Raw genomic sequence first — 23,392 nt, 5'->3', positions numbered from 1 at the left:
GCAAATAGAGTACCACAGCACAGAATATGTCTGAAATTTAGTTTTGTTTGATATCTGAAAGTTAAGTTTTTGACATTTACCAGCAGTCCCACAACGTGCTGACCCTGTGCCGTCGTGGCCTGGTGCCAGCCTGATGTAGGGCCATGCTAAAAATAGCAGCTAAGCAGCAGCTGTAACACATAGGTCCTTCTGACCTCAACTTTATTTCCCTAAAGGGTGATTGGAGGAAGAGGGGGACAACTGGAGGGAATGAGGGAAATGGAATATACTCTCAGTAGGTATTACTTATCTCTTCTGATTTGTCTTCTTTTCTACCACACACTCCTTTCTCCTCCCTTCCCTCACCCCATCCCCAAGAAAGGAAAGGACAGAGGAAAAGAAGAAAGAAAATGAGGGAAGAAAGGAAAGAAAGAAAGAACAAACTGGAGCTGTGAGGCAAGTTGAGTTCACAGTCTTCCGCACCTGCTGCCCTCAAGTCTCACTTGATTCTACCCTGCCATCATCACAAAGCAGCCATTGGTCATTTCACTCATCAGCTTCACCACTGTCTAGAGAAAAGTATAAACCACAATCGTGAAAAGACTGGCTAGTTCACTGGGCTGAACGTATATCAGACAAAAATTACACAAGTGGTATTTGGGGGAAGAAGGGAAAAAGAACTGTAAAAATGGCATCAAGAATACAAAATCCTGGCCAGGCACAGTGGCTCACACCTGTAATCCCAACACTCTGGGAGGCCAAGGTGGATGGATCACCTGAGGGCAAGAGTTCCAGACCAGCCTGGCCAACATGGTGAAACCCCGTCTCTACTAAAAATACAAAAAATTAGCCAGGCGTGGTGGCACGTGCCTGTAATCCCAGCTTCTCAGGAGGCTGAGGCAGAAGAATCACTTTAGCCCAGGAAGTGGAGATTGGAGACTGCAGTGAGCCAAGATTGCACCACTGCACTCCAGCCTGGGTGACAAGAGAGACACTCTGTCTCACCAAAAAAAAAAAAAAAGTCCAAAGTGCTAAGGATAAGGAAACTTGCAGAACACTAAAAAACAAAGTCATAAAGGAACAGGGCTAACATATTACATATTTAAAAGTTTGCTCACATAAAACAACTAGATTACAAACATGATATTTGGGTTTTAGAATCTTATTTTATGACAAGTACTTATTATAAAAATCACAATATTCTTTGTAGAAATGAGTTAATAGAAAAGGTAGCAGCAGGAGTAAAGGTTCAGCATGACCAGGCCTCTACCAACAAAGACCTACAGCCACACCAGAAAAGACTCCAGGTATGCCCCTTATACCTAAATTACAGAATCCCTACACAGTACTACACTCATAAAAATGCTAGTAACTATCAGCAAACATTTATCACATACAACCTGGCGTATACAAAATTCTAATCTGTACTGATTGTAATTACGTAAGAGAATTTAAAACTTGCTTTTGTGGACTTATTCTACATGGTATCTTCTCATGTATATTTTCTCTATAAAATCTTCCAACATTAGAGATCTGATACCAACTAACAATGAAAAATACTTTAAGTAAACAGACTCTCAAGGCAGGAATAGGGAACCAGTCACCTGAGTTTTAAGCACATTAATTCACTCAATGAGCTTCCAAAGTATCTGATCAGCTTATTCAGTTAGTAAGAGTTTAAATGTACTGACAGGTTCTACTGCATCCTTCCAATTAACATCAGCATTCAGGAATTGCACAGATAAAACCCTATCTTTCAAAGAATGTCAAATCTCTTTACCAGCAACAAGAAATAATATAATTGTAACATTTTAAAAGGACCTTAAAATGAGATATTTAATTTCTCAAATATATTTTGAAAACCTAACTTTGCTGCATATATACGATTAGATCTAACCTGCAAGTTAATTTCTCTTTCAAAACTTAACATCTCATGGAAGATGATCAAAATCACCCAACACAACCATCCTCCAAAGCTGAAATTCATTCCTAAAAGACATTTTTTTTTAATGTAGTAGTTTTTCAAGTAAAATTTTAGAGTTCTGGAGATTATTTGCGTAACAATGTAAATGTACTTAACACTGCTGAACCACACACACAAAAATGGTTAAGATGATCAATATTATAGTATGTCCATTTTAAGACAACCAAAATTTTTTTAAATCCTAATATGTGTAAATATCCTTATGATTTTTAAATAAATCCTCTCAATTGGAAAAAAATAACATTTTAAAATGATACCTTTGATCACAATTTAAAATCCAGGCCACTGTGAAAGTCACTCTAGAAAGTAGCAACACACTGTAAAGCTAAACCTTCTGGAATAGGTAATGATGATGCATCATGGACAGTATTGCTTGAGCACCAACCAAAGAGGCTGCATGTGTCTGGCTCTGTTTTTAACAGCAATAAAAGTTATTTCTACTTTTTTCCCTGTGTTTCGGTTTCCTCATCTGTAAAACGGAAACAATAATGGTCCCTAACTCATATGGCTGTTAAGAAACACAAAAGGAAATGAGGGAAGTGGAATATACTCTCAGTAGGTCTTACTCACTTCTTCTGATTATATTCCAGGGCAGTATTTGGCACCTGGTTAAGTGCTATGAAATGTTAGTTGTTATTACTCTTACTATTAGTAAATGTTGTAGAAGTGTTAAAGAGTCTCACCATAAATCACATCCAGCTGGTTCAGTGAAGAACTGCCCCAAGTCATACAAAAGGCTTTAAAGGCCGGGTGTGGTGACTCACATCTGAATCCTAGCATTTTAGGAGGCCGAGGTGGGTGGATCACTTGAGGTCAGGAGTGCAAGACTAGCCTGGCCAACATGGTGAAACCCCAACCCTACTAAAAATACAAAAGTTAGCCAGGCGTCATGGCGCATGTCTGTAATCCCAGCTACTCAGGAGGCTGAGGCAAGAGAATCGCTTGAACCCGGGAGGCAGAGGCTGCAGTAAGCTGAGATTGCACCACTGCACTCCAGCCTGGGCAACAAAGGGAGACCCCATCTCAAAAAAAAAAAAAAAAAAAAAAAAGGTTACAGAGAGTACTACAGTTTGGAGACCACATCATTTATGTGAAAGAAGTACATATATGTATAGGTACATCCTGAAGGATTATGTGTATACTATTTACCGGTGAAGGAGGAGGAGGCACGTTGACAAAAACAATAAATTATATTTTAAAAACCTGGTCAAATACAAACAATACTGGAGAAGTTTTCATATATACACTAAGTTGAGAGCAAACTTCTGTTGTTCTGTATCAGCACTTCAAACTTTCAGCAAATTCTTTATTATATGGGTATATGTATACATTCATGTAACAGCAAGTCCTCCACTTAATGCCATCAATAGGTTCTCGGAAAATGACTGTAATCAAAATGACATATTACAAAACCAATTTATCATAGGCTAATTGACATAAACAGTAATTTCCTATGGCATATTTCTGGTCACAAAAACATCACCAAACTTCTAAATAAAGACCACAACACTTCTAATATTAAACATTGAAATGAATGTGAGATGTACATACATTTTACGACGATTAATAAAAACAAGGTAATTCTTCACCCAGTTATTCCAGTTCAAGGTAGCAGGTGGCCAGAGCCTGTCCCAGCAGCTCAGGGAGAAAGGCAGGAACCCACCCTGGATGGGATGCACCCCCATTGTAGGGCACACTCACACACACCCACACTCATTCAGACTGGGGCCATTTAGATGGGACAATTTGCCTTAAGGTGCACATCTTTGGGATGTAGGAGGAAACCAGAGTACCCAAAGAAAACCCACGTAGACACAGGCCGACCATGCAAACTCCACCCAAGATAATGGCCCTGGCCAGAACTGACTTTTTTATTTTCTCATCAATGACATAGTGACACAATGTTATTCAAGGACTTGCTGTATAATCACACAGCTGTAATACAGTTTTGTAGTTAACAATCCTTTTTCTGAACTTTAATCTCAAACATTACTACGATTTCCAAATATCCACAAATGTTTTACACTAGCATGAACTGAGCATGCTAGAACCACTACTGCACTGCAGCCATTAGAATTTAGCCTGAAACTAAAATGCTATCTAGGAATACATTTATTAACATTCAATAAATGTTAGCCAAATAACCCCTCCAAAGAGTTCAAGTTACATTCAAGAATATGCTTGATTTCAGAGACTACCAAACTAAGACACGGCCCAAACAGTAGGAAAAATAAGCAACACGGCTTTGCCATTTCCTATGCCACTCTAAACAATTTACTCAACGAGTTTGGGCCTCAGTTTTCTTACCAGGAAAATGGGAAAAACTGAAATTGAAGTTATCTTTTTATCTCTGAAATCTCCATAGCTCCACTAGTAGATAACAACTATAATGCAAGAGTATTTTATTTACAAAAATACCTTTCCTCTTTCAGCATATTTTAAGAAGAAATGAACTGTGGATCTGTACAGAGGGGTCACTGAAATATGCATGTGGTTACAACATTCAAATTACACCTGGGTTAATTTGTCTCCTTTTCTGTTCACCTGTGGACATCATCACATATATATATTTGTAGACATATATACACACATACATTAGCTGACACAAAATTAGTTAAGCGAATTCCGCAGACATAAAACATTTAGCATACTCAAGCAACAGTTTACTATCAGCTGAAAGTCAATCTTTCAGTCAGCTGAAAGTTCAAAATGACAAGGAATTTTGCACCGTATTGTCTCTGAAGCTTGCTTTAGGGATCTTTTCTAGATGAAAAAAAATAAGGAAATGTCCTATTTTTAAAGAACTGAAAAGCAAGTACAAAGCATATTCTTAGAGGAACACAGGGCACTGAAAGCAAAAACTGAAAAGACAACCAGGTTTTTATCTAACAGACACACTTTACTTTTGAGATCTGGGTAGGATTGACAAACAAAACGTCTCTTCACAAGACAAGACTCAGTAACACTTTTCTCCAAATTATCATTTGATACTGATTTTTTCAAAGCACATGCACTTAAAGAGGGAAACAGTTCGTGGTTTTGAATTTAAAGTAATCCCCAAATATTTACATGTTAAAAAATTAATAAATCACAAAAACTAAATTAGCCTTTTTGTTGTGACAAAGCACTATTTTAAAAATTATACCACAGTAATTTGAAAGGTAGCTAAAAACGGTTTTGTGGGTTTCATACTGTTTACTACCTTTTTAAAAAGACCTGCCTATAACCCGCTTTGTTTCTAAGATATTTATAGTTACCTATAATCTTTCATTTTTAGGATATTTGTGCTCTTAAATATAACAGTTTAAGTCAACAACAGTTTGAGTTTAATGATTGCCCCTATAAAAATTTCTAACACTGAGTTTGTTTTATCATATGTATATGTAAGTAAGCTTCTTAAAATAAAGGTACCAAATTTATTTTGCCTCAGTGAAGAAAATTTACAGTCTAACACAAAAAAATATAAAGCATGTGGAAATAGTACAGATCCAGTCATGTGATTTTTTTTTTGAGACAGGTTCTCGCTCTGTCACCCAGGCTGGAGTACAGTGGTACAATCTCGGCTCACTGCAGCCTGCAGCCTCCACCTCCCAGGTTCAAGCGATTCTCCCGCCTCAGCCTCCTGAGTAGCTGGGATTACAGCGGTGTACCACTACGCCCGGCTAATTTTTGCATTTTAGTAGAGATAGGGTTTCACCATGTTGCCCAGGCTGGTCTCATGTGATTTTTCAAAGGGACAACTCTTATAAAACAAAACATGTCATTCCTACACTGCCTATTACTGAACACATTACTAGCTGAAATCACACATTCTTAACCGTGAATATGAGTGTAAGCAGAAAGAGATGCTGGTCCATATCTTTCCATATGAAACATTCATAGGGTTAGAATTGAGACAGCAATTGATTATCCATTTTTGTGGAAAAAAAAGAGGCCCAGGATAAAAATCTTAAAAATCAGTGAGGACATACTTAGAACAATAATGACTTAAACTGTTCAATTAATTGCAATAATTCTATTAAAGGACATGTTCCAAGGGCATCCTGATGTTTCTAAAAAGGCAGGCATCAGTCTCACAACCGCAAAATAGATGAAACTCAATGCAAAGTGGAAAAAAAATAATGAGGATAGCCTTTTCAATCCCAGGGTGTACTTGTAACACAACTGAGTTGCAAGAAATTAAAGACTTTAAAAAGAATGAAAATGTTTGCTTAACCCAAATCCGCCATTTTCACCTTCCATTATTGTCACTGTCTCTTGAACATTTTAGATTTTCTCAATGGAGCAATATTATCCTTCAGAGAACTAAGTATGATAACAAATTCCAAGTATTCCTAAAACTGAAAATTTAACTTCCTTCAGAACAACACTAAGGACCTATCAAATACTGAAATACTTTCAAAAATCACTTACATAAATCAAACATCTCAACTCACACAAAAGAACAATAAAAAATACCTATGCAACTGGTTTCAAAATGTATTGTGTATTTCATTAATCAAAAGGCAGAAAAAGGGTAGGATCTGACATAAAATTATTCTATATTAACCTTGAAAAAGCATTCAATGAAATGTACTATCAATAAACAAGCATCCAATTTTCAATGTGCATTCAGAATCGTCTTTATTTAGTGATCTCTAGTCTGTAAAGAAAAATCAAAATATTCAAAAACCAATAAATTATCTGACTGAAATTTGTACCCATCTTAATTCTAATAATGTTCTTTTACTGCTTTGCCACCCCCACAAAAAAAAAAAACACACAAAACTTTAAGTTATGAATATGAAAAGAGTGTAAGAATGTGTTTACCAGAATGTTATGTGGAATGCTGGGCGATATTCTTTTCTCCCAAAAGTAAATAGAAAAATAGGCCATTTAAAAGGCCATTCCTTTTAAAATGTATCTCCTTCCTTCAGAAAGGACCCTCACACACACTCAAGCACACACACACACACATATGCGAACACACCAAAACAATATAAATTAAAAACTCAAGGATAATTTTTGTAAGTTTCTTTATTACAAAAATATATGCCTCTAGTTTTAAGAAAAACCCAACCATAAAATAGGTATAAAGTAAAAAGTTAAAGTCCCCCCCAAAAACCTTGACCATTCACTTAACTGCTTTTCTCGAAAAATACCCATACTTCCAAGATTGCTTGTGTAGACTTACAGATGTTTTTATGCATCTATATGCAAGTATTTTTGTTTTAAATACAAATTGCAGCATACTATATGAAGTTTTTAACTTGTTTTAAAATATTCTGGTCATCTTTCCTTGTCAGTACATATAAATCTAATTCATCTTTTCATAGTTGCATAGTATTCCACTGAGTATTTCTTAGGCACTTCCCTTCTGTAGAAATTTAGGTTAACTCCAGCTTTTTACTCTTGCAAACCACACTGCAATGAGCATCACTATACAGAACATCATTATACACTAATATCAGTATTATCTATAGGATAAATTCCTTAGACAGAAAAAGATGGTGTCAAGCAGCAGCGTAGGCAGAATCCTTTTTCCCAAATCTCTTCAACCAATTCTGGGTATTGTCTTTTTAGTCTTCACCAATGTGGTAGAAGAAAATGGCATCTCATTTTTATTTGCATCTCGTTTTTTTTGTTTTTGTTTTTTTTGGGGGGGGAGACGGAATCTCGCTCTGTCACCCAGGCTGAAGCGCAGTGGTGCAATCTCGGCTCACTGTAACATCTGCTTCCCGGGTTCAAACGATTCTCCTGCCCCAGCCTCCCGAGCGGCGGGATTACAGACGCCCGCAACCGCTCTGGCTAATTTTTGTATTTTTAGTAGAGATGAGGTTTCGCCCTGTTGGCCAGGCTGGTCTCTAACCCCTGACCTCAGGTGATCCACCCACTTTGGCCTCCCAAAGTGCTGGGATTACAGGCATGAGCCATCACGCCCAGCCTATTTGCATCTCTTTATGTAAGAATGAAGATGAGTATGTTTACCGGCCATCTACATGTCTTCCTCTCTGAAATGTGCTGCCCATTTTCCTATTGGGTTATCCATCTCTCTTCTTGACAATTTTTGTAAGTTTTCTACCAACCTTTGGTCCAATGTGCTGTAAATATTTGGCCCAATTAACTGCTAAATTTGATTTGTAGTGTTTTCAGCCCTACAGAAACTTTTTGATTTTTTTTTCCTCTTGAGACAGAGTCTCAGTCTGTTGCGCAGGCTGGAGTGTGCAATGATGCGATCTCAGTTCACTGCAACCTCCGCTTCCCGGGTTCAAGCCATTCTTCTGCCTCAGCTTCCCAAGTAGCTGAGATTACAGGCATGTGCCACGATGCCTAATTTTTGTATTTTTTGGTAGAGACGAAGATTTGCCATGTTGGCCAGGCTGCTCTCGAACTCCTGACCTCAAATGATCCACCCACCTCAGCCTCCCAAAGTGCTGGGATTACAAGCGCGACTCACTGCGCCCGGCCCTTTTGATTTTTATCCAATTAAATTTATCTCTTTTCCAAGTTTGAGTTTCAGGTCATACCAGGGAAGCTCTTCGCCAGAAAATAACTTGGGGAAATTTTTTTTTTATGTAACTTCTAAATCATTACTTAAATGATGTCGATAATACTTATATACCAGCACCTATAGAGGCAGCTCCCTTCCAATATCAATATCAATTCTTCTTTTCTTTTTTGAGATGGAGTCTTACTCCGTCACCCAGGCTGGAGTGCAATGGTACGATCTTAGCTCACCGCAACCTCTGCCTCCTGGGCTCAAGTGATCCTTCCACCTCAGCCTCCCAAGTAGCTGGGACCACAGATGCGTACCACCATGCCTGGCTAAGTTCTTCTATTTTTGGTAGGGACAGGGTTTAACCATGTTGCCCAGTCTGGTCTAGAACTTCTGAGCTCAAGCGATCCACCCACCTCAACCTCCCAAAGTTCGGGGATTACAGGTGTGAGCCACCGTGCCCGGCAATATAAATTACTTAACAAAAATAAGCCAACTACTCTTTCTCTAAAATTTTCCTATAATCAACTGATGAGCAAGCTCTGTGCCAATTAAATATTGCTTACAACTACTATAACAAAGGTTTATTTTTTTCCCTTAAATTTCTTTTTAAAATATAGAAGTTGAGAAACAGTAACTACCAATAGGTTTAATTTCTAACAAACCCCTCAATCCTTAAACTATCAACAGCATAAATGTAAAATAAAGTCCAACAACTAGATTTTCCCTATTGTAGCTATAATTTAGTCATCTCTACAAAAGTCAATGAATACTTTCTGTACACTTGTAATTTTGCAATACCAGAAAACTGCTTTATGGTGCTATCAACAAAGTATTCTGTTCTTTTCCATTTTAAGAAACTGAAACAAACAAAAGCGTTCTACCTCAAATCAAAATTATAAAATAAGCCTTTCAAGTTAGCATATCAATTCAAACCACTACTTGAAGCTAAATTAAATGGTTAATCTAGCCACCCTCTCTCTGTTCCCCATAAAGGGAGGTGGGGGGAACCCTGATCATAAGTGTTCTATCTCTCAGTGCCAGCTGCCAGGCATTTAACAGCCTTCCATCTCTAAAGCTGACTGGCACAACAAGTAATACAACTTCGAAGTTAAGGCAAATGGCAGAACTCAGAGGCGAAAAAAGAATATTTTCCACAATTTGTATAGCACTTGTTTAGCACGTATGTGTTTCTGAAGTGGTGGTCAACTCTTCAGTCTACACGAGAAACATCACACCACTTCACGTCAACCACTGCCAATTCCATTCAGTGGCCTCTTCCCCTTTGGGGACTATTCAAAAAGTTACTATTTTCTTTTACAACTACTCACCCAGGCCTCTTCCACTGATGAAAGCAGGCAAAGCCCACGCTGTGTGTCTGTCTCCTAGAGAAGATTGCCTCTTTTATTTATCGCCCCTTGGCTTTATTTTCACAGTGAATTCCTGGCTTAAATGCAATCAGCCAAGAAACCCTCCCTATGCGCTCTCCTGTCATTCCTCATTGCTTGCAAGCGGAGTCAAGCACAGGGAGAGGGAGGGGGAAAAAAAAAAAAACCCTCAACATTGCCAGCCAAGCCATAAAAATTCGCAGACTCTAGTTTGTTATACTGAGAAGCCATAGATGTGCTTCCATCCATCGCTAACCGGCAGGAAACAGACAAACAAACAAAAAAAAAGGTATAACTAGGAAGAATGTTAATTAGATTTGTTTTAAGGAAAAAAGGATAGATGAATAGCCTCAAAAGCTAAACCCCCTCTAGACAGAAGGAAAGAGTGCCCAACATAGAAAAGGCAACACTGGGGGCTGCCTTTGGAAATAAATGACCATGCAGAAAACCACGTTTGCAGATGGCATTAGAATTCAAATTAACCAGACAGGATTAAAACAAATCTTAATTCTTTCTTGGGGACCCTATCCAGACCCCCACCCCACTTCCAAAGAAAAGAAGGATAAAAGGAACTGACTACAGAAAGAGAAAAAGGATTAAGTTAACAATCAAAGAGATAGAGATGCGTCCAAATCTATCCCCATTCATTCGGTGCCGGGTTCACCATGCTACAATTTCAAGTACACTAACATGGGAGGGGGTCAGAAAATATGCCATTTGCAATCAGGAGAAAAAAATGGGAAGTTTCACTACAGCATTGTTCTTTTCAGTCTGGCTCAAACATTCCCATCGCTATGGCTGAAAAAGATCTGGACAGGGGAAAAAGAACATTTTAGGGGAGGGGGAACAGGAGACACTTTTAAACTAAGGTATTTGAGAAAACTCTCAGGATCTGTCAGAGAAAGGAAGGCTGTGCAGCTCTAAATCACAAGTCCTTCTCTCGCCTTTGTCAAATATATTCTACTTTACAAGCCCTGAAAAGAAAGAGACTCTTTTGTTTGGTTTCTCCTTTTCGGAGGGTGACAGAAAACTGAAAGGGGCACAAAAAAACCTGAAAATGAGAACAAAGTGCTGGGTCGTGCCGGGCTGCCGCGCCGCGGGGACGCGGGAGCGGCCGCCGAGCCCTCTGCCTCGCGCTCCTGCAGCCCGCTCGCCCCTTTGGCTGCGAGCGGCAAATCCGCAACTGCCGACCGCGGCTCGCCCGGGGCACCACGACCTGACCACACAGCGCAAACAAAACTCGGGCGGCGGGGCACAAGGGCTGCGCCGCGGCCCGCACAGGGGTGTCTGGAGGCAGCTTCAGAGAAAAGGGAAGCGCTAGCAGCTCCTCCTCAGGCTCGCGCCCTTTAATTAGTAAGCGTCCTACGGGCGAGATGTCCCTCCGGAGACGGAGTCCGGTCCGCCGCCACCTCTCCTCTGCGCCGCTTGGAGACTGAGGAGGCGCAAAGAAAACGACATTTAAACCCCGGGCGGCCAGTGGAGCTCGCCCGGGCCAGACGCCACAGCGACCCGGGAGCGCCGCGGCCGCTCGCCCGTCGGAGCCCTGGGAGGAGCGGCGGCCGAGCGGCTTTAAGTGTATTCCCCTCCCCTCAAATCGCGTGGGGCGGGGGCCAGAAAGAAAAAGGAGCGAGCGACAGGCAGTGGGAGAGGGGGGGAGCGCCGAGCGGCCGGGCCGCGGCCGGCATTGTCTGCGGCCCGCGCCCCCTCCCCCGCCCCGCACAGCCCCGCCACACACACCCTCGCCGGAGGCCGGCCGTCCGCCCGCGCCTTTGTCCACATCCACCCCCGAAACCGGCGAACAGCCCTCCAGGATGTGCTCCCCGGAGGAGGGCGGGTAGGGGAGCGCGGGCCGGGGGCGCGGAGCCCACGGAGGGGCGCGTCCTGCTGATTCATTTCCCACTCGCGCTGGCCCGTCCGGGGCGACGGGGGGCAGGGAAGGGAGGGAGGAAATGGGCGCTCCGCTCAGGAGGACCGTCCGGGCCAGTGAGGACACCCGCAGGGGTGCGGGCGCGCGCGGAACTAGGGGCTGTCCGCAGGAGAAAGGCGGGCACCCCCCCCCCACCCAGGGACTGACGGACGGACAGACGGCTCGCGGCTGCCCCGTGACTCACCGACTTGCAGGACGTTGTCTACGCAGCCGCTTTCCAACAGCGCGATGCCCCGGCGGAAAGGCAGCCGCGTCTCGTCGCCGCCGTCCGCCGCCCCGGCAGCCCCCACCGACGGGGCCCCGGCCCCCGCGGCGGCGGCGGCGGCGGCGGCGGCGGCGGCAGCGGCGGCGGCGGCCGAGGTTGCGGCCGCCGAGGTTGCGGCCGGGGAAGACGAGGAGCCGCCGCCGCCGCCGCCGCCCGCGCCGCCGCCGCCACCGCTGTCGTCGCCGGGGCCGCCCGCGGCGCCGCCGCCGGTGTTGAAGGACGAGTACATGCAGATCTCCCGCTCGCTGCGGGGGAAGGACCAATAGACTATGCGGCGCTGCACCGGCTCCGGGATGCGCTCAAAGCGCTCCTCCACGCGCTGGAACGGCCACTTCTCCGCCACCCTGCGCGCCGCGATGTCCAGCAGCGACTCGGGGCTCTGGGTCTTGCCCGGCGGCAGCAACCCCAGCGCCGCGCCGCCCCCGCACGCCGCCGCCGCCGCCGCGCCACCCGCCCGCGGGCCTGGCCGACAGGCAGAGCTGTAGCCGCCACCCGCGCCGCCGCCGCCGCCGCTGCTGCCCCCGCCGCCGCCGCCGCCGCCCGGCCGGCAGCAAAGCCGTTTCGCGGGAGGAGGCTGCTGTCCGCGCTCCGCCATGACCGCGCCGCTTCTAACCCGACAGCGGAAGTGCCGGGACCCTATAAACGGCACTAGGAAGCGCGACACGCACACGCCGTCGCGACGCCACGATGCCATCTAGGGCCCGCCGCTCCTTGTATGGGCACAAGAGGTGGGGCCTCCGCTGTGACGCAGAAGCTGGGGCGGGGCTCTGATAGGGGGAACCTAGGGCCGGGGGCGGGGCCTATGCAAATCGCTGGGCTGAAACATAAATAGAGCGCTTGGCGGACACGGGGGTGGCGGGGGCGGGCCGTTTTGGTGCCCGGTGGGTTGTGAGAATGTCAGGCTGCTGTGACGCGGGGGAGGGCGGGGTCAGGCGGGGTTCCCGTGGGAGGGGGCGGGCCGCCGGGCCGGGCCTGAGGTGGGTGGGTCTCTGCGCCCCCTGCCTACCCCACTTCCCCCTCCAGTTCTCAGCTTCTCTTTGAAGTCCGAGAAGTGAGGATGCGCCTCGTGGGTCGCAGCGGGGGAGGAAAGGGGAGAAGAGGGGGTGAGCGAAGGGGAGGGTTCTGAGCTAAATGGAGGGCGGGGCCCACGGGCCGATGCCCCACCCCCCCCGTCCCCCTGCCCTTCGGGGGAAAAGCCTCTGGGCGGAGGAGGCGCTTTCAAAACAAAGAAATGCGGCATGGACCCCGGGGGACGCGGGTGGAGAGGAAGGCGGAGGAGGCGCGGCCAAACCCGAGCGCCTGCCAGCTTCCCCTCCAGCCGGTCCAGGGGAGCTCTCCCCACCACCCGCCGAAGCTGCAGCGGGGAAGGGGGAGGATGGCTGCGTTCGGCGGCGGCTTTCCACTTCACTTTTGCAGACCTGGTGTGGAAGGAGCGCGCCCGCTCTGCTAACCCCGCGTGGCTGCAGTGCGCCCATCCCCGAGCCCCGCGTCCGTTCTGTCTCGGCTGCAGGGCTGTGCCCGAAAACACGCAGAGCGCTCGGAACGTGCCCAGCAGCCGCGCGACCCGCGTCCGGTGCCGGCTGCCACCGTCCCGCCCTCGCTGCCTCAGCCCCTCGGGCCAGGAAACCGACCCGCCCGCTAGAAGTCGAGGAGCTCCGGCCGCCCTTGTCGCCCCCGCGGCCGCGCGGACAAGGCCCCGCTCCAGGCCGGGGTTTCTCCAGCTCGGGGTGGAACGCAGCCCGGGCTGTGGGGTTAGCAGACACACCTTTGTGAGTACACACGCCGCAGGGCGCGCGCAAGCCCCACGGGCTCGCGCACACATCGCCCAGCAGGCGGCAGACGGCGTGCCAGGCGGCGGACGGCGGCTTCGGGCGCACTTGGGTCTGCGGCCCGGCTCCCACCCCGGCACCCGGGTGCGCGGCGCCCGGCTGCGCGGAGTCCAGGCGCTCGGGACGCGCGCCGCGCTCTCAGTCGCCTTGGCGGCGCCCGCAGGGCCAGTCCCCTCGGGTCCGGGCAGTGTAGGGGTGGACCAGGGAGAGCGAGTGCAGAGTGCAGCTCGCTGGTGCCTGGACGCGGGCGAAGGCGGAGAAGCGAGTCCCTCTCTGAACCTGGAGCCCTGCGGACATTGTTCGCGCTCCACAGAGCTCGGTCAAATCTGCTTCCAAGCCGCAGACTTAATTACCGCGTCGGAGACAGGCTTCCTCCCAGCCCCACCTTCTGTTTTTACTGTAAACAGTGGTGCTGATCCGCTCCCATTGTTGGAGATAAACTGTATCTCCTTTGACACTTTCGCATCTTTTAAGGTTATTGGCTGCTCCCCACCCGCCTGCCTTGCAGCCTGGATTTAAAGGGATAGCGCGCTTCGGCGTTTTAAAGAAAATCGCCCATTCGGGGCCGAGGCCCTGGAAACCTCGAGCTACACAGTGGGCCTTCACAAGTCCCAGGCTGCAGGTCCCTGGGGTCGGGACGCTGGCCGACTTTCCGCAGCTGCCTTACTTGTTAGGAAAATTTTTGTGGCATTATGTTTTTGTATATCCGTCCAGTATTTTTCTGGGCACTTCCTCCATGTCTAGGAAAAAGCCTGTGCGGAAAACTGGAGGATCTTTATGGGCAAGTAGAGGGAGAAGTCTCTTTCAGGGGTTTCATTTCTAGATCTCTTTAAAAATAAGAATAATCTTATAATTGTGTAAAACATAGGTATAGAAGACAGTAAGTTTAAAAGTAAAACACAAGTTGGGCTCTATTCTCTTCAGAAGTTCATGATACGACTTAGGCTTGTATAATGTGTAGATTAGCAAGCATTTTCACACATAAACACATAGAATCACTGAACTGGAAAGTCAGCGATGACAAAACTGGTGCCCCCAGACAGGATAAATGACTCATTCAGGGTCATAGGGGTTGTTAGTAGAAGAGATTAATTCACATTGAACAGGGAAGTAGGTACCTTTGGAGGTGCCTAACTTTTAGAGCTTTCGTTATTATAACGAGCAAGAGACTGGATTTAAGGCACCGTCGTTTGCTGGAGGGATCTATTATAAGCTCTCTAATTCAGAGACAAATGAGGGGCCACCAGTTCAGCCTGACCCAGCCGGCCCTCCCTGCACTCTCTGGCGCTGATTACTGACCTCCTCTTGAACTGGGCCCCTCTCTGAGTTTCCCGGAATTCTGCCATCCCTCCAGTGTCTCCAACTCCTCTTTTCCCTCTTTTTTGTTTATCTTCCTTCAAACTGTTTAATGTATACCCTGCCCTGCAGCCTATCACGGTCCTCTTCATTTTGCTTGATCCACCACTTGGAGAGTTTCCACCACCCACCCTATAACCGTTTCCTAAAGTATCATCTCCCTCTCTGGCTCACGTATTTCTTCCTGGTGGCCAGCTCACTTTTCCATCACCACCAGGATGCCCACGGCCACCTCAAACCCAAAGAACCACCTTTCCCTAGAATCCAGGTTCTCTTCTTTCGTTATATTTTTGATACTGTTGCCACCTGTTCCCAGGGCCCCAAGCTTTTTCCTCTGCCTTTGCCTCTTTCCTGTAACTCCCACAGTTGACTTGTATTGTCTATCCCAGCCCCTCTGGCTGCTCACAGTCAATTATTCCTCCTCTTCACTCTGCAGGAGCCTCCTCCCTGGTGTGTCTGTATAGCCTTTCCTCCTCCAAATCATCCTCCACCCAGCTGCTGTGCTTCCTAAAGTACATTTCGGATTGTGTCACCCTCCTGCTTAAGTCCCTGTAAATGGCTCTCTGCTGCCTACTGGGAGAAATCCAAACTCAGATCTGATCTTGACCAAACCCAACTTTTCAGCCTTGCCTCCCACTAAAACCCAACAGAACGTTTCCCAGTTCCCCAGCAGGAATTCTGTTATGTCCCAACAGGACTTCTCCACCCCACACATTTGCTCAAGATGTTCCTGCTGCCTGAAATGTCTCTCCCTTCCCTTGCAACTTGTCAAATTCCTACCCTTCCTACAAGGATTTGCTCAAATGCCACTTCCTCTGGGAAAACCCACCTGGCTGTGTGATCTCTCTCTCCTCAAGCCCCTTTAACACTTTGGATCGTTCTTGTGACATTTATACCATTCTGCCTAGCATCAGAGTTATGTTTACACTTGCCTAAGCCATTGTCCTTTCTCTTTCTCTCTCTCTCTCTCTTTTCCTCTTCCTCTCTTCCCTGGTTAGAAATTCTCTGACAGTTGGGTATATGCCTTGTCCATTTCTGTAGTCCCTGAATGCCCAGCATTGTCCTGCAAGGTTTCTGTCTCCCCAGAGGTTAGCTACACCCAGGAGCCAAGGGAGAAGTGAGTGATGGTGTGTCATCTTTGGCTAGTGCTTCTGCCATCTCTCATTTTTTTGAGTAATTATAGTGTTTTTCCTGGTGTTCATAGAAATCATTACTGAATTACTTATGATTACCCTTTTCCAGCAGGCTTCTACCCCAGGGACCAAATCAGGGATAGAGCCGCCTCCAGTGTTTACCATTAGGCAATGGTAGGAAATCAAAGTACAGAAAGTCTACTGCTTCCCATATGCAGTGACTCATATCACATCACACCACATCACTAGTGTGGTCAGGAGCTAGGCTCCCTGGCCCACTTCATAAATAGTACTCCCAGTAGCTAAACTGATGAACTGAAGGAAGTGAGAAAACCCCACCCAACACCCACCTGAGCACCACATCTAGCACCCAGCCCACTGCAGTCAGATGCATAGATAGGTTGATGGACAGATGAATGGCAAAGGAATTTATTTGAGAAGGGCAGTGGAGTCCTAGCCAGAGATCTCTTATGGCTCCTCCACCCTCCTTTAACTTAGAAATGAAATTTTTGAATTAAATTCGGTAGCGGTTTACCAAATTCCTGGAGCAGTGGTTTTCAAAGAGAGACCCCTAGAGTGCCCCAGGGCAAAATGCACACAACTTTGGAGCTGGGAAACGGAAATTAACACATGTAGCGGCTCCCCACATGAGTCATCTTTACACTAAAGTTTGAAAACTACCCTTTGGTGACAAGAACTTCACAGGGTCCTGCGCTTAGGAGGCCTGCAGGAGAAAATGGCATTGCCTCATCATTATTGCTAGTCATCTCAGCTAATTAAGACAATAATTTGCCATTAGTAGGAAGATTCCAAGACATGGAAATTAAATTAGATCTAAGGAATTTCAAGTCATTTGAAGATGGACACAAAGTTATATTCATTTCCATTCTCTTTTTCATACTGGGACATATTTTTTAATACTGTAGTCGAAGCCAATTATGTTCCCTGGAATATAATTTGTTTAGAGGAGAATAAAAGCCTAAAACAGCATAGTTAACCTATGAACCAGGCATTCTCCCCTCTTGTGCAGTGAGAGAGCATCTCACTCTGTATGGCTAAAAAGAGCGAAGAATGAGGGAGAATAGATGATACTTCATCAGTGAAAAATGTCCAGTAACAGGAGAAAGTGCCAAAAGAGTCTTCCTGGTCAGTCATTTCCATGGAATAGATTCTTGTGCAAAGGAAGAGGTAAGCAGGGAATGATCAACCAGAACTGAAAAATTTAAACCATTACTCCAACTTTGAAGAGGGTTCATTTTAACTTTGTTGAATCCTTGAGAATCAAGCCACAATTTTTTTTTTTTTTTTTTTTTTTAGATAGGAGCTCGCTCTGTCGCCGAGGCTGGAGTGCAGTGGCGCAGTCTCAGCTCACTGCAAGCTCTGCCTCCCAGGTTCACGCCATTCTCCTGCCTCAGCCTCCCGAGTAGCTGGGACTACAGGCACCCGCCACCATGCCTGGCTAATTTTTTGTACTTTTAGTAGAGACAGGGCTTCACCATGTTAGCTAGGATGGTCTCGATCTCCTGATCTCAGGTGATCTGCCCGCCTCGGCCTCCCAAAGTGCTGGGATTACAGGCGTGAGCCACAGTGCCCAGCCAAGCCACTAATATCTTACCATTAGTATTTTGGGACAGTGGGCAAAGACACCATACTAGGTCCTTTACAAACAGTAACTCATTTAATGCCTCTTACACAAGAAACAAACGAAGAAACTGAGACTCAGAGAAATTTGCCAAAGGTTATTTGGCTGCTATCTGGCCACGCAAGGATTCAAGTTCTGTCGGTCTCACTCTAAAGCCAGAATTTTTTTCCATTATCCAGTATTTCCCAAACTTGTCAGGTCATAAGAATCACCCTGAGCACTTGTTAAAAATATACATTTCCTTTACCTCTCCCCTGGAGATTCTGATTCAGCAGGGCTGGGGTGGAGCTTGGAATCTATCTTTTTAACCCATGCCCTGGATAATTCTTCAGAATAGGCAAAATTGGGAAATATCATATTCCACACCACATTGTCACTCAGTAACCCACACTATTTCATTCCTTAAGATGTCCCCTTCTAAAATGTGCTGAATTATAAGAAAATATATTCAACCACTGATCAATCAACCAATCTTTTCCAACCTGCTTCTAAGAACAGTGTATTCTGTTTAGATGGAAGCCTTTAAAGTTACAAGCTGGAATTTTGAAAAATAAATTATTGCATCTCAATATATACCAAAAAACCAGGCTGGCAAAATTGCTTACAAATGAATTTGTTTTAAATGTTGTGATTTGGGCAATAATTCTACCCTCAAGAAGTAAAAGAGATTTGCTTTCATTAAATATTAAATAATTTGCGTGTGTCAATTTTCAGAAAAGAAAAACATTTTAGCGTATAGTCTCTATACCATTTAAATATTAGTAAAAGTTACCAGGCTATTATCATTCTGTTAGTTACTCCAATGCAAAGTGCAATGGTGAGGATCTTATTAAATGAAAACATCTTAAAACTGGAAGGTTCATCAGGCTTCAAAACAGGCTTAGAACCCAGTGATGGCCAAAAGAAATAGGAAATGCCACATTTCCTTATAACCTTAATATTTCCCCTTTTAAATAACTAACTTTTTATGAACTATTTTGTTAAGATTGTCACAGGATAAACAAAAGAATACTATTTAATCTATTTAATAGGATAATGTAAAGACATTTATTTCAGTATTTATTTACCTGTGTTAACTAGGAAAAAACTCCCACTTTTAAACACTAAAAAAGTGTTAGTATAGAGAATCATAATTTAGAAAATTAATGATTTTCTCAAAATTGCCTCACCCTACTAGGTCACTCTCTTGCAGATATCTCTGATAATGTGAGATGGTACAAGAAAAAGAGGTTTAAGACATATTCTCTAGGGAGACAAAAGGTGCTCTGACATGTATGAAGGATGTATTTACAGAAAGTAATGTCATTCCAAAATTCACTTTGTAAGGATATAGAATGAGCATTTTTCAAAGTGATCAAATAGTACTTTGTTCATTCTCATTCCTATTTGGAGGAAGTAAAGATGTAAAATCTAGACAGCCAGGTAACTTTAGGGGGCACCTTATGCCTAGATAAAGATTATTTGCATTTAAGATACATGAAAATTAAAATTTTAAACATGAAAGCCAAATTCTGAAACAAATTTATTAACGGCATTTTATCACCTACAGTATTTTTAAATATTCAAGAATTCACTCCCTGTCAAGAAAGGAATCATGACAATTCAGATGTGAAAAATGTCACTTCCAATGACTTTGTTCAAATCCAGAATTAGATAACTTGTGAAAATGAAGAGGTTTCAGTAAAAGCTGGTGTATCAGACATTTTTCAACGTGAAATCTATATTAACTCACACCCCCACGGAATCACGTTGCAATAAAACCATGGTTATGCAGAACTTTTGTGAAAACCACCCAGATTGGACAGGTTTCCCAAAGAGCTGAAGTTGTACTTTTTAAGGACCAAACATCTCTTTTTTTGAAACAGAGTTTTGTTCTTGTTGCCCAGGCTGGAGTGCAATGGAGCGATCTCGGCTTCCCACAACCTCCGCCTCTGGGGTCCAAGCGATTCTCCTGTCTCAGCCTCCCAGGTAGCTGGGATTACAGGCATGCGCCACCATTCCCGGCTAATTTTGTATTTTTAGTAGAGATGGGGTTTCCCCATGTTGGTCAGGCTGGTCTTCACCTCCCGACCTCAGGTGATCCGCCCGCTTTGGCCTCCCAGAGTGTTGGGATTACAGGCATGAGCCACTGCTCCTGGCCCAAAAATCTTTTTAAAAGCTTAACGGGGCTATGTGTGGTGGCTCACACCTGTAATCCCAGCACTCTGGGAGGCCGAGGCAGGCAGATCATTTGAGGCCCGGAGTTTGAGACCAGCCTGGCCAACATGGCAAAACCCTGTCTCTATTAAAAATACACAAAATTTGCTGGGCTTGGTGGCAAGCACCTGTAATCCCAGTTACTCCAGAGGCTGAGGCACAAGACGGCTTGAACCTGGGAGGCAGAGGTTGCGGTGAGCTGAGATCACGCCACTGCACTCCATTCTGGGTGACTGAGTGAGACTCTGTCTCAAAATAAAATAAAAATACAGGCTTAACCCTGCACACTAGAAATCTTTCTAAAACATGACACACTTCTTTGACTTCTTAAGCATATTATAAGGACTGATTATAAACACAATGATGCCCTTAAGAGCTACTAAGGTACGCAAGGTTGCTTGTTCATAACAAAAAACCCAGATTGCTGGCTTGGTTTTTCTTCTCTTTTTCTCTTTATTTCTTTTGCCCTTCCCTTCCCTCCCCACTTCCCTCCCCTCCCCTTCCCTTCTTTCCCCTTCTTTCCCTTCCCTTCTTTTCCCTCCATTTTTTATTTAGTTTGTTCTAGGTTTTGTTTTGGTTTGTTGGTCTCAGCCTTTACAGTTGTGCTATTTCCTGTTACTTTCACTTTTTTGTTGTTTATTTAGAGTCGATCTTGCTGTATTGCCGAGGCTGGACTCAAACTCCTGGGCTCAAGTGATTCTCCTGCCTCAGTCTCCTGAGTAGCTAAGACTACAGGCATGTACCTCCATGCCTAGCCCCTCTTACTGTTAATTATTGTCATATAACCACCCATAATGTCGCTTCTCACTTTCTGAATTATTGCTCTCCCCATGTTGTAGCCTCTGAACCCGGAGAACCTTATTTCTACAATTATGTGTAAAGTAAAATCAGCGAAGTTCTTAATGAGAATCTCCCACCTGGTTAAAATGTACACGATCTTTGTCACATTTATTTTGCCTCTTGCAGACTTCCTAGATTCCAGCTAGGTCCCAGAAAATGGAGAAGTTATTAGATGACCAAACTCTGGCTTCTGAGGGGTTAATATAGGATGATAATTGACATTTGTGATGATGAGTCCAAGATGCCTACTGAATCATCATGTGTAAAATAATATTTACTGAACATGATTTAGGTTTAAAGCATTTAATGAAATTATAACCTTTGGAACTTGGTGGTTCACTTCTGAAATCTATGGCAATGTTTTGACAGATTTCAGATGAAACAAAATCTGCATTCCCAGGTCACACACAAGGACTGTATGCCATGCACTCCTATGACAGCTTGAGTTCACCCTGGAGAGGGGAGGGTTAGAAACCAAATCCTTAACAAGCCTGCCCTGCAAGACTCAAGACTGTGCATTAGGAATGACCTGGTCCCTGCCCACCTCTCCAAATGGCCTTACCCCAAGTTCATTCCCTTTGCTCTCTGGAGCTCTGCCAACACAGGCTACTCAGGCCTACTTTCAATTCCTTTAACACTCACTTCCTCCAGAGGCCTTTGCCCAAGAGTTCCTGCTCCCTGGAATGTTCTCCTTCCCCAGGCCCCACAACCACTGCCTAGTTTCCTCCTGCTCGGCTTAATCACACTTCCTTAGGAAAGCCTGGCCGCCCTGACAGGTCAGTTCTGTCTATTACACACTCTAGTAGTTACGTGTACTTCTCCTAGGGGCTCTTATCTGAGTTGTAATTTTTCATTTAGTTGTATGTAGGACACATTACCTGGAGAATAGTAGGTGCTCAATAAATATTTGTTCACTGCATGGAAGGGAGGGAGCAAGGGCACTTCAGCCAGACTGGCCTCCTCATTGTGGTTAACATCAAGGTGTGCCAGGAGAGCAATTTCCAACAGCTTAACATTCACTTGATTGCTGCCAAGGCCCATGGGTCTTTCCTTTCCTTTCTAGAAAAGAGTAAAATCTACTCGATGAACATTCAGCAGCATGGTGTGAAGCTATTATGGCCACATTCTGGAAATCATTGCATTCTTCCAAGCAAAGAAATAAGAAAATCTTCCCAAACAAATGTCAGAAACTTTACCACACTGTCATACATGCTGCCTGTAACATTTGTCTTTTGTTAATTTTTTTTTTCTGGCTTTCATCTCAAGTGTCTCTCAAGTTTTGGCAATTTCAAGTCTTCTAGTTTCCATGGAAATAGGAAACAATGATCTCTGGGAGATTAAGAGCGGGGAGATATCCACTCTAATGGAGTTCTAGAGTTTTCTTCCTTTGATAGTATTTGTGAATTGAGAGAATGTTGGTGTGGAGGCAGGGCTTCGGTGTCATCAACAAATCTTTATTTTTGTGCCTATAATGCATCAGGCATTGTTCTCTTCCAGGAATGCCTCCACCTCCAAACTGCTACATTAAAGGTAAACATGCTCTCCCAGATGTGGGCTCTCAGGTTTATTCTTAAGTGAAATTCAAATTGTTGAGCAGGAACTATTAGCTCTGTAGTGAGAATCTTTACCTTTTCCCTCTAGGCAACCTCAAGCACTTCAGATATTTTATAGAGCTCTTTGTGACACTCGGGTTACAAAGAACCATGGTGTATATACATTGTTAATTTTATTTTTTTATTATCTATTTCACAAGGAAATAAAAATCTCGACTTCCAGAGCAAGACATAAACATGTAATGTTGCTTTTTTTGTTGTTCTATAATCTTCATACTTGATAGTTGCTAATATCCACAGAAAACTTGACCAGACATACCTGAAAAACTTGAAAAATCTGAAAAAGGAAAAAAATAGTTTGCTTGTCTCCTTAATAGGCAAATGTCCACAATTTTACATCCTCTCACAATGACTTAATTTCTTTGAGACTTTGAACCTAGAACCTGTGTGCATGTATATGACCATTGTAAGACTCAGCTTTTAACCTGTTATGTAATCTGTATTGTAATATTCTACATCTCATGCCACCAGAAAGTTTGCAAGTTCCCTGAAGGACAGATACGGAAGATTATAAAACCAGCTTCTAGTTTGTCTCCATGTGGAAGTTCAGCCTTCTGGCCTCTCCCGCACCTCTTCAGTATCTATCCTCCTACCGAGCACCCATCTGATGGATCTCTCCCCACTGCAACCCACCCTCCTCTCCAGGACCACTTTTTCTTGCCTGTAATTCTGGCCTTAGGAATGCCCAGAGGAGATCTGTACCCAAAAAGTATGTTTGAGCAAAGCTAAGTCTCCAGAATAAAGATAATCCCAATTTACAAGTCA

General features: G+C 44.6%; 1 protein-coding gene and 1 long non-coding RNA gene across 3 annotated transcripts in view, besides 9 other annotated features; one reads left to right on the top strand and one right to left on the bottom strand.

Moving 5' to 3' along the window:
* ZSWIM6 (zinc finger SWIM-type containing 6) overlaps window positions 1-12,628 on the bottom strand; it is a 213,915-nt gene extending 201,287 nt beyond the window's left edge. Inside the window, exon 1 of the mRNA NM_020928.2 lies at window positions 11,938-12,628. Within this exon, the coding sequence (NP_065979.1) occupies window positions 11,938-12,613 (676 nt within the window). The 5' untranslated portion in view covers window positions 12,614-12,628. The remainder of the gene's footprint in view (window positions 1-11,937) is intronic.
* Window positions 10,854-10,973: a silencer, noted in NCBI's record as "silent region_16049". NCBI's record gives its function as "represses an Ori minimal core promoter by ATAC-STARR-seq in GM12878 lymphoblastoid cells {active_cell/tissue: GM12878}" and the evidence as "EXISTENCE:reporter gene assay evidence [ECO:0000049][PMID:35858748]".
* Window positions 11,734-11,843: a silencer, noted in NCBI's record as "silent region_16048". NCBI's record gives its function as "represses an Ori minimal core promoter by ATAC-STARR-seq in GM12878 lymphoblastoid cells {active_cell/tissue: GM12878}" and the evidence as "EXISTENCE:reporter gene assay evidence [ECO:0000049][PMID:35858748]".
* Window positions 12,624-12,763: a silencer, noted in NCBI's record as "silent region_16047". NCBI's record gives its function as "represses an Ori minimal core promoter by ATAC-STARR-seq in GM12878 lymphoblastoid cells {active_cell/tissue: GM12878}" and the evidence as "EXISTENCE:reporter gene assay evidence [ECO:0000049][PMID:35858748]".
* Window positions 12,670-23,392, top strand: LOC105378994 (uncharacterized). Of its 2 annotated transcripts, none has more exons than XR_007058781.1 (2): window positions 12,670-12,746; window positions 23,099-23,392. It is a non-coding gene; the product is annotated as an uncharacterized LOC105378994 (long non-coding RNA). The 2 variants fall into 2 exon arrangements; XR_007058780.1 differs by lacking the exon at window positions 12,670-12,746 and adding an exon at window positions 13,048-13,121.
* Window positions 12,874-13,273: a silencer, noted in NCBI's record as "silent region_16046". NCBI's record gives its function as "represses an Ori minimal core promoter by ATAC-STARR-seq in GM12878 lymphoblastoid cells {active_cell/tissue: GM12878}" and the evidence as "EXISTENCE:reporter gene assay evidence [ECO:0000049][PMID:35858748]".
* Window positions 13,484-13,553: a silencer, noted in NCBI's record as "silent region_16045". NCBI's record gives its function as "represses an Ori minimal core promoter by ATAC-STARR-seq in GM12878 lymphoblastoid cells {active_cell/tissue: GM12878}" and the evidence as "EXISTENCE:reporter gene assay evidence [ECO:0000049][PMID:35858748]".
* Window positions 13,584-14,163: a silencer, noted in NCBI's record as "silent region_16044". NCBI's record gives its function as "represses an Ori minimal core promoter by ATAC-STARR-seq in GM12878 lymphoblastoid cells {active_cell/tissue: GM12878}" and the evidence as "EXISTENCE:reporter gene assay evidence [ECO:0000049][PMID:35858748]".
* Window positions 13,584-14,538: a biological region, named in NCBI's record as "NANOG-H3K27ac hESC enhancer GRCh37_chr5:60626175-60626745".
* Window positions 13,968-14,538: an enhancer, noted in NCBI's record as "NANOG-H3K27ac hESC enhancer chr5:60626175-60626745 (GRCh37/hg19 assembly coordinates)". NCBI's record gives its function as "activates a minimal SCP1, AML or CMV promoter by ChIP-STARR-seq in naive H9 embryonic stem cells {active_cell/tissue: H9 hESC(naive)}" and the evidence as "EXISTENCE:reporter gene assay evidence [ECO:0000049][PMID:30033119]".
* Window positions 13,990-14,284: a silencer, noted in NCBI's record as "tiled region #180; K562 Repressive non-DNase unmatched - State 4:PromP, and HepG2 Repressive non-DNase unmatched - State 4:PromP". NCBI's record gives its function as "represses a minimal TATA promoter and a strong SV40 promoter by Sharpr-MPRA in K562 cells, with weak repression in HepG2 cells {active_cell/tissue: HepG2 | K562}" and the evidence as "EXISTENCE:reporter gene assay evidence [ECO:0000049][PMID:27701403]".

This window comes from Homo sapiens, chromosome 5 (assembly GCF_000001405.40).
Source record: "Homo sapiens chromosome 5, GRCh38.p14 Primary Assembly".
NCBI lineage: Eukaryota > Metazoa > Chordata > Mammalia > Primates > Hominidae > Homo > Homo sapiens.
The sequence above is the reverse complement of the archived record's forward strand: the minus strand, read 5'-3'. Positions and strand labels throughout refer to the sequence as shown.